General features: G+C 44.6%; 1 annotated feature.

Moving 5' to 3' along the window:
* Positions 1,534-2,045: an enhancer, noted in NCBI's record as "H3K27ac-H3K4me1 hESC enhancer chr5:50218379-50218890 (GRCh37/hg19 assembly coordinates)". NCBI's record gives its function as "activates a minimal SCP1, AML or CMV promoter by ChIP-STARR-seq in naive H9 embryonic stem cells {active_cell/tissue: H9 hESC(naive)}" and the evidence as "EXISTENCE:reporter gene assay evidence [ECO:0000049][PMID:30033119]".

Raw genomic sequence — 10,717 nt, 5'->3', positions numbered from 1 at the left:
CATCATTGTTGCAAGTTCTGATGAGAAAACTTGGAAAATAACTTTCCTGTAAAGAATATTTAAAGAAAACAAATATTAATTAAGATTGTGATTTATTCATAGTCAGTCTGCTTTGTCTTCTCTTTATGTCTCTTTCTTTAGGAAGTTATTTTTTTTTATTTTTTTATTATTATTTTTTCAGGAAGCTCGTATTCTCCAGATAATTCAAGAATCCGCAGAGCAAATCCAGCACAGACTGTGCACAGACTGTTTGCTTCCCAACGCCCAGACACATGTGCCTGCGAATTCCTGATGTTACGAAGATCTGCCCCGGGGAGAGGAGGCAACGCCCCAGGAAACTCCAGGGCATTGACAACCCACACCCCAGACCCCAGACGACCCCAGAACACTGACAGTCCACACCCCAGACAACCCCGAGGCACTGAAAACCCACACCCACACCCAGAATAACCCTGGAACACTGACAACCCACACCCCAGACAATCCTAGACAACCCCAGGACACTGACAACCCACTCCCCAAATAACCCTAGGCAACCCCAGTATGCTGACAACCCACACCCTGGACAACCCCAGGAGACTGACAACCCACACCCCAGCTGACCCCGCATCCTGGCTGTGACGGGGCCGCCATCCACACCGCCTGCTCCAAGGGCTCTGTTGCTCCGGGTTGGACTTGCACGGCTCTGGGTCACTGCAGGACTTGGGACAAGTGACTCAGTTCCCCATTGAACAGGATAGCATCTCAGCCGCCCTGGGTTACTGTGATATCAGGAGTCAGTGGCCAACGTTTCCTGTGTCCTCTTTCTGAGGCCAGACGCCAGCATGGAGGCTGCAGCGAGTCCCTTCCCTCAACTGCACGAGGCCTGGGGACCCCATGGCCACCTGGCCCAGGTGTGGGCACCGAGGCGGGGCTGTGGGGTGAGCTCCCGGGTGGCCCATGGCTGGCAGTCGGCCGTCCTGAAGGGACTCTAGGTACGACACGAGGTCCTCCAGCCACGGGCATCAGCTTCCCCTCTCGGACACAGGCCAGCAAAGACAATCGCCGGATGTTTGAGTACCTCCTCTCCTTCCAAAACAAACAGAAAACCCATCCACAGCGTCTGTCGACCAAAAGAAGAACCGCCAGAGTCCAGGGAAGCAGCTTGCCGGGAAACTGCCAGGTTTGCATCGAATACCCCGAGTTCTGGAAACCCCGTATGTCCCAGGCAAACAGGCACCGTGGGTCACCCTTCCAGGACCCACATTCGCGCCAGGCCTGGGTGGAGGCCTTGGCCCTGGGAAGGAAGGCTGACCAGAAGCCCCGGCACCCTGCCCCGGCGGCCACGTGCAGACGCAGAGGCCTCTTGGGCGGTGAAAGGCTGCTCCTGAAGGTATTTCTGGTTTTTCCATTTATAAAGCAGAGTGAGGTTATAAATCAGAAAAGTGTTTACAGGAAACACACAGCTGGCAATAACAGCTTGGAGGGGCCACTGTGTCTCTGTGACTATTTCATCTTCCACGCCAACTTAAACACGAGAAAAAAAAGGCTTTCCAGCCCAGGGCCCCGCTGCACGGCACAGCAGATTGAGAGCATTTGTAATAATTCATAGATCTCACTTTCATTTTTCTGCTGCCCAGGAATTACATTCCACTATTAAAATGCGCTGGGACTGCCTGGCCCGGCCGCTCCTGCGTGTTCAGACACAGGTCGGGCGAGGACCCTGCGCGGCCCCAAGTGGGCTGCGGCTCCGGGGCCGGGCGCTTGCCCCCTGCTGGACACACGGTGCACTGCAGGCAGCCCAGAGGGCCCTCCCCGCGATGCGGGTGAGAAAGTCCCGAGACAGGCCCATTTCCTCTGAGATGGCCACGGTTCCAGGTGAGAAAGCAGGCGGGAGGGAAGAAGCTGGCGTCCAGGCCCCTGTGCAGTCACATCTGGTCCTCTGCGGTCCGTTCCTGTTCTTGGGATGCTGGCAGGGGGCACTGCCCCAGCTCAGGGGCACACAAGACCCAGATGGGTGCAGGCAGGAAGGCCAGCTTGGTCGGGGGGGTGGGGGGCCCGGGCCGAGGCCGGAGCCGGGACAGCCCCCAGGCGTGGTCGGGCCCTGGACCTTACCTACTGCAGACCCAGTGGGTCCCACTCCTCTTCAGCCGAGGCTTTGTCACCTCAGGGCAAGTTGAGGGCAGAGCTGGGACTCCCCAGATACTGCCCGATCTGCTCTCACCGACCCAGCCCCAGAGCCCCAGGCAGGAGGGATGGGCAGGGCCTGGGCAGGGCCTGAGGGACAGGTCTCTGTGGTCCTCAGAGCCTCACCCATTCACAGTCAGGCATGGGGTCAGAGAAGGCCACGTGCTTCAGTGGGATCACCCGGGGAAGGCCCAAGGCCGGTGCCAGCCGTCCCCACAACAGGACCCGGAGGCCTCTCTGCCCCATCCTCCAGATCCAGCCTCTGGTGTGCACGAGCTGAGAGGGGATGCTGAGGGCAGGAAGGAGAGGGACTTTTGGGTGTCCTGTCCCACACGCCCCCTCGGGGCTGGCAGGGGAGGATGGGGCAAGATGGTGGAGCTTGTCAGGGGAGATGGGGAGCACATTTCAACAGCTGTGCTCTTCTGGGACAGCACAAACTGTGGGGGAGAAGAGTGATGGCCAGCAAGGCCCTTGGGCGGCGAGGGGTCCCGAGTCCAGGGGCTCAAATGCTTTGGGGCACGGTGACAATGCCACCTCCTCCAGGAAGTCTTCCCAGACTTCACTGCCCAGCGGTGACTCTGAGCTGACTGCACCTACCCTGAACTCCAGCCCTGGGAGCAGCCAATCTCCGGCTGCATTACCCTCTAAGACTCGGGAGGTTTGGGGCGAAGTCCCAGAGGTTTTTCAGGAAACAGCCACTAAATGGATGAATGAATGATGAAACCTGCTGCTGAAGGGCCCACCTGCAGACCTGGGCTCTCCCTGCACTGCCCGGGCCCTCAGGGTAGCACCACCCAGGCTGGGTTGGGCCACACACCCCAAAAGGGCCCTGCCAAAGCCCTCCCACCCCAGACACAGAAGGGGCCTGCGGCCACCCCTGGGCCCAGCCCCGGCCTCCCCGCGCATGCCCCCAGCCCCCCACCAATGCCCTCCCCTGCCCCTGGTGGGTCAGAGATCTCCTGGAGGCTCCAGGGAGCGGAGGCGATGCCCGCAGGCGATGAGCGTGTTCTCAGGAGCAGGTGGGCAGGGGCCTTGCAGACTCTTCATTTAGGAAGTTATTTTCATGATCCAAAGGAGCTTGTAAAATACGAGATTTATAGAGCATACAGAATCTGCAAATAAAATGATTTTTTGGTTGCTTTTGTTTTACAGATTTAAAATAAGTAGCATTCTCTTAAGTTCATGTTACTTGAGGGAATGCCACATAATTCTAGCTATGTACTTCTTAGGAATGTGAAAAAGTAGGGAAGTATGCTTGGTCACAGTCCTGATGGTGACTTTCCTATGCCTTAATAGAAAAGAGCACATCAGATCTCTCCTAAGGATAAGGTTTGAGAGTTAACAAGATGGCACAATCAAAAGGGCAGTAGACACTTGTAGGTCTAAGGAATACACTAAGAGAACATATACATATGGAATGAGGTAGCTGTGGTTTCTAAAGTTTACATTTTTATACAAGATTAGCCATCCTAGATGTTCCTTGAAATTGACTAAATTCACATTTGAATTTGCAAGCCTCTCTTTCTGTGTTTTTCTCACCACTATAACTCTGCTGTGGAAGGTTGTGTGTATTTATAACATCATTTTCTATGCCTACACATGTAGAAAAATATTTTCTCATTTTCCATAAAATGGACAGGGATACTGAGTTCTGATCAACATAATGTGAATAAAGGTGATACTCACCGTTCTTTGCCAGAGGCCATGAATGCCACCTTTTATTTGTTTGTTTGTTTTCTGAGACAGAATTTCGCTCTTGTTGCCCAGGCTGGAGTGTAATGGTCTGATCCCAGCTCACTGCAACTTCTGCCTCCCAGGCTCAAGCTATTTCCTGTCTCAGCCTCCCGAGTAGCTGGGATTACAGGCACCTGCCACCATGCCCGGCTACTTTTTGTATTTTTTGTAGAGATGGGGTTTGCCATGTTGGCCAGGCTGGTCTTGAACTCCTGACCTCAGGTGATCCACCCGTCTTGGCCTTCCAAAGTGCTGGGATTACAGGCGCGATGACTGCGGCCGGCTGGAATGCCACCTTTTAAGAAGGCAAAACAAGGCCGGGCGCGGTGGCTTACACCTGTAATCCCAGCACTTTGGGAGGCGGAGGTGGGTGGATCATGAGGTCAGGAGTTCAAGGCCAGCCTTACCAAGAGGACAAAACCCCATCTCTACTAAAAATACAAAAAATTAGCCGGGTGTGGTGGCAGACGCCTGTAATCCCAACTACTCGGGAGGCTGAGGCAGAAAATTGCTTAAACCTAGGAGGTGGAGGTTGCAGTGAGCCAAGGTTCGGCCACTGCACTCCAACCCAGGTGACAGAGCAAGACTCTGTCTCAAAAAAAAAAAAAGGCAAAAGAATAAAACAAAAAGGTAAAAACAACCTGGATCCCCATGTTAGTACATGTATAAAAAGTGTCTGTGGAGTCACCTACCCTACATCAGAAATTTTGCGAGCAAGAAATAGATGTTGCTATGAAAATCATTGGGATTTCAAGTTTTTTTGTTTTTTTTTTTTTTTTTTTTTTTGAGACAGTTTCGCTCTTGTCGCCCAAGCTGGAGTGCAGTGGCATGATCTTGGCTCACTGCAACCTCCACCTCCCAGGTTTAAGTGATTCTCTAGCCTCAGCCTCCTGAGTAGCTGGAATTATAGGTGCTCCCCACCATGCCCGGCTAATTTTTGTATTTTTAGTAGAGACAGGGTTTCACCATGTTGGCCAGGCTGGTCTCGAACTCCTGACCTCAGGTGATCCACCCACCTCAGCCTCCCAAAGTGCTAGGATTACAGGTGTGAGCCACTATGCCTGGCCAGGATTTCAGGATTTATTTATTACCACCACATAGCTTATCCTATCCTGACTAACATAATTGCTTTTTGTTTTCTACTTCCTTATCCGGAAACTCCTGTTTTTGTTGATAAAGTTTAATGGTCCACTCCTGAGAGGTATTTGCATTTCAGTAAGGTATTCGTGAGGAGCAAAATATCATCAAACCCTAAAAGAAATGGATCTCTGATACCGAAAAAAAATTGAATACTGTGATAAAGAGCAAGGCAAACTCATGTATAGAGAGATACTCTCTGAGAGCCTCTCTAGCTATATCATCTACTCCAGTAGTATTTAAAAGTCATATTTGTTCTCCATATTTCTATTGTTGTTTTCTCTTAGTAAATTGCTATTTTAGCAGGGAACAATTGAAGGAGAAAAAATACCTTTTTTTGTCTGAATCTTTTTGACAATTGTAATTCTATCAAATAAAAGAATTATAAAGTGATTTATTCTGACAGGCACGTGCACCAAATAACTCAGTTTCTTAAAATAGTTCACATTCAAATTATTTAGCTAATGGGCATTGTAAGTTTGGCAATATGCTAAGAATCACTCTGTGCTTCTCTCTATGACACATGGGTTCTTACAAACAAAATTTCTGACATCAAGTCACAGTCTTTGAATTTCATTCTCCATAGCTCCATCTATTTCAACTGCACCCACAAATTACCAAGTCTGTTTATTTTGTCATTAGAGACTGTAAGTGGCATTGACTATGCAAGTGTGACATTCTAGGAACAGCATGGGTTTTGACATTAGACCTTGATTTAAATAACATTTCCGATGTTTACTAACCATATAAGTTTCATGGAGTTGATCTAAAGAGTTCCAATTTCCTCCTATGTTAAAATAAGAAAAATTTATATACCCATTCCCATAAGGAACTGATAGGCTTATTTATAGATACCACTTTCAAAGGCATAAGCAGAATGCCTGGTATGCAATAGGAATCCAACATATGAGAATCCATTTGGGAATCATTTTATATTGATATATAATTAACAAGTAAAAAATGCACAGATTTTAAGATTTTGGTTATTCTATCCAGCCATGAAAGCACCACCTAAAACAAGATGTAGAACATTTCCATAGCTCCAGGAAGTTCCTTCAAACTCCTTCCCAGTCCATTTAACCATCCCTCTTCCCATACACCACCTTTCCACCACTTAGGCAAACACTTTTAAATTTGTATTATTATAAACTTGCCTGACTTTAGCAAATTGAGTCAGAGAGTATGTACTTTTTTGTGCCTCACATTCTTTGCTGAACATAATGTTTGCTTATGAGATTTAATTCATGTTGTTGCATGTAGTAGGTAGTGCTTTTTTATTGCTGTATATTTTGCCATATGACTATACTACAATTTTTTTATCCTTTAATATTTTAACGGACATTTGAGTGATCCGTTTTTGGTTATTATCAATAAAACTGCTACCAATATTCTTGTACAAGTCTTTTTGTGATTTTATGTTTTCATTTCTCTTTAATGAATACCTATAAGTAGAATTACTGGATCATGGAGTAGACGTATATTTAACTTTATAATAAACTACCAAACAGTTCTCTACAACAACTGGACCATTTTATTTTTTTAATTATTTTTATTTTTATTTCATTTTTACTATTTTATTTTATTTTATTTTTTTGAGACGGATTCTCGATCCATTGCCAGGCTGGACTGCAATGGCGTGGTCTCGGCTCACTGCAACCTCCGCCTCCCAAATTCAAGCAATTCTCCTGCCTCAGTCTCCCGAGTACCTGGGATTACAGGCGCGGGCCACCACGCCCAGCCAATTTTTGTGTTTTTAGTAGAGACGGGGTTTCGCCATGTCGGCCAGGATGGTCTCTATCTCTTGACCTCGCGGTCCGCCCACTTCAGCCTCCCAAAGTGCTGGGATGACAGGCGTGAGCCACCGCACCTGGCCACGACTCGACCATTTTAAACTCCTACAAGCAATGTATAAGAATTTCAGTTGCCCTATAGCCTAGCCCATATAGGCATTCTTCATTTCATTACACATCATTTTCTTGCACTTTGCAGATAGTGTGTTTTTTTTTACAAATTGAAGATTTGTGGTAACGCTGTGCTGAGCAAGTCTTTTGATGCCATTTTTCCAATGGCATGTGCTCACTTCATGTCTCTGTGTCGCACTTTAAGACTTCTTGTAATATTTCAAATGTTTCATCATTATTATATCTGTTATGTTTGTCTGTGACCAATGTTCTTTATTGTTACTATTGAAATTATTTTGGAGTGCTGCAAATAGCGCCCATATAAGATGGTGAACTTAATTGATAAAGGTTATGTTTTCTGACTGCTCCACTTATCAGCCATTTTCCCATTTCTGTTCCTCTTCTTGGGCCTCCCTATTCCCTGAGACACAGTAATACTGAAATTAAGCCATTTAGCAACCCTACAAAGACCTCTAAGTTTTCAAGTGAAAGCAAGAGCCATATGTCTCTTACTTTAAATCAAAAGATAGAAATAATTAAGCTTAGCAAGGAAGGCATGTCAAAAGCCAAGATAAGCTGAAAGGTAGACTGCTTGCACGAAACAGCCAAGTTATGAAACCAAAGAAAAAGTTCTTGAAGGAAATTAAAAGTGCCATTCCAGTGAACACACTAATGATGAGAAAACAAGAGAAGCTTATTGCTGATATGGAGAAAGTTTGAGTGGTCTGCATAAAAAGATCAAACTAGCTACAACATTCCCTTGAGGCAAAGCTCAATCCAGAGCAAGGCCCTAACTCTCTTCAACTATATGAAGGCTAAGAGAGAGAAGCTGCAGAAGAAAAATTTGAAGCTAGTTGAGGTGGTTTCATGAGATTTAAGGAAAGAAGCCATCTTCATAACATAAAAGTGCAAGATGAAGCAGCAAGTGTTAATGTACAACTCACAGCAAACTGTCCAGAAGATTTAGCTAAGATAATTGATGAAAATGGCTACACTGAACAACAACTTTTCAATTTAGATAAAACAGGCTTATGTCATCTAGGGCTTTCATAGCTGGAGAAGAAAAGTCAATGTCTGGCTCCAAAGCTATGCTGAATCTCTTGTTAGGGGCTAATGCACCTGGTGACTTTAAGTCACTAATGAGCCAGTGCTCATTTAGCATTTTGAAAATCCAAGGACCTTTAAGAATTATTTTAAATCTACTCTGCCCTACTAATGAAATACAAAACCTAAATTACAACACATCTGTTTACAGCACAGTTTAGTGAATATGTTAAGCCCGATGTTGAGACTTGTTGCTCAGGAAAAAAAAATTTCTTTCAAAATATTACTGCCCATTGACAATGCTCCTGATCACCCAAGAGCGCTGATAGGGATGTACAAGGGGATTAATGTTGGTTTTATGCCTGCTAACACAACATTTATTCTGCAACTCATGGATCAATGAATAAGTTTTACCTTGAAATCTTATTATTTAAGAAATAAATTTGGTAAGGTGATAGCTGACAGAGATTGTGATTCTGCTGATGAATCTAAGAAAAGTAAATTGAAAACCTTCTGGAAAAGATTCACCATTCTAATGCCATTAAGAGCATTTGTGACTTATGGGAGAAGGTCAAAATATCAACATTAACAGGAGTTTGGAAGAAGTTGATTTCAACCCTCATGGATGACTTTGAGTGTCTCAAGACTTCAGTGGGGCAAGTAACGCAGATGTGGTAGAAATAGCAAGAGAAATAGAATTAGAAGTGGATCCTGAAGATGTGACGAATAGCTGCAAACTCACAGGAAAACTTGATTGGATGAGTAGTTGCTTCTTACAGAAAAGCAAAGAAAGTGGTTTATTGAGTTGAATCTATTCCTGGTGAAAACGGTGTGAACATTGTTGAAATGATAAACAAAAAAAATAGGTTGAGAATATTTCATAAACTTAGTTGATAAAGCAGTGGCAGGGTTTAAGATGATTGACTCTAATTTTGAAAGAAATTCTACTGTGGGTAAAATGTAACCAAAAAAACAGCATCACATGCTACAGGGAAATCTTTCATGGAAGAAAGAATTAATCAATGTGGGAAAACTTCATTATTGTCTTATTTTAAGAAATTGCCCCAACCTTCAGCAATCACCACTGATTAATCAGCATCCATAAACATCGAGGCAAGACCTTCCACCAGTGAAAAGATTACAATTCTTTGAGGGCTGAGATGAATGTTAGCATTTTTCAGCAATAAAGTGTTTTTAGTTAAGGTACATACATTTTTTAGGCATAATTCTATTGCACACTTAATAGACTATAGTAAAGTTTAAGCATAGCTTTTTATGTACTAGGAAACCAAAAATATTGTGTGACTTGCTTCATTGGGATATTTGCTTTATTGCAAGTGGCCTGGAACTGAGCCTGCAATATCTCTGAGTTATGCCTGTATTAAGGATTATTGGTTTTTTTTTTATTTAGTCATTCTAGTGGGTGTGAAATGGTATCTAATTGTCATTTTATTTTGAATTTTCTTGGAAACTAACAGTGTTAAGCACCTTCTCATATGCTTATTGGTATTTTGTATATGTTCTTTTGTGAAGTATCTCTATTTCCATCCTTTTATTGAATTGTTTGTATTTTTATTGTTGACTTATAGGTTGGTTTTTTATGTTTTAGACACAGGTCTTCTGCCATATATATGCCACAAATAATTTTCCCAATCTATGGCTTGTCTATTTTCTTTGTGGTGACTTTTGATAAACCTATTCAGTTTTGATGAAATCCAATCAATTTTTTTTTTTTTTTTTGCTTTTATAGTATTGCTCTTAGTGTTCCGTCCAAGAAATTTCTACCTACCAGAAGTTTCTTCTAAATGCATTACAGTACTGGTTGTTTTGTTTGTTTGTTTGTTTTTTCTGAGACGGAGTCTCACCCTGTCGCCTAGGCTGGAGTGCAATGGCGCGATCTGAGGTCACTGCAACCTCCACCTCCCAGGTTCAAACGATTCTCCTGGCTCAGCCTCCCAAGTAGCTGGGATTACAGGTCCCCACCACTACGCCCAGCTAATCTTTGTATTTTTAGTAGAGACGAGGTTTCACCATGTTGGCCAGGCTGGTCTCAAACTCCTGACCTCATGATCTGCCCGCCTTGGCCTCCCAAAGTGCTAGGATTATAGGCGTGAGCCACTGTGCCTAGCCGCATTACAGTGCTGTTTTATATTTAGGTCCATGATCCATCATGAATTAACTTAGGGGTGTAGGTCCAGGTTTGCTGGCTCACACCTGTAAGTCCAGCACATTGGGAGACTGAGGCAGGCAGATGGCTTGAGCTCAGCAGTTCAAGACCAGCCTGGGCAACATGGTGAAACCTGGTCTCTACCAAAAGTACAAAATATTAGCCAGGCATGGTGGCACGAGCTTATGGTCCCAGCTACTTTGGAGGTGAAGCAGGAGGATCACTTGAGCCCAGAAAGCAGAAGTTGCAGTAAGCCGAGATCACACCACTGCCCTCCAGTCTAGGCAACAGAAAGAGACCCCATCTCAAAAAAGAAAAGAAAACAAAACAAAACAAGACTTTGGGGTATGGAGTGAGATAGAAATCAAGTTGTTCTATTTTTTTTTTCATAGAGATAACGATGATGATGATCTAACTTGACTTACAAGTTTGGCTTTAACTTTTGTGTTTCAATACTAGAGATAACAAGAAATATTACGTGTGTGTTGACTTCCTAAGGTCATGTTAAATGATTGCAAACATGTTTGAACTGGTGCTTAATTGTTTTAGTAAAATCCTTTACAGAAAA

Source organism: Homo sapiens, chromosome 5, assembly GCF_000001405.40.
Source record: "Homo sapiens chromosome 5, GRCh38.p14 Primary Assembly".
Lineage (NCBI taxonomy): Eukaryota > Metazoa > Chordata > Mammalia > Primates > Hominidae > Homo > Homo sapiens.
This window is presented reverse-complemented; position numbering and strand designations above follow the sequence as displayed.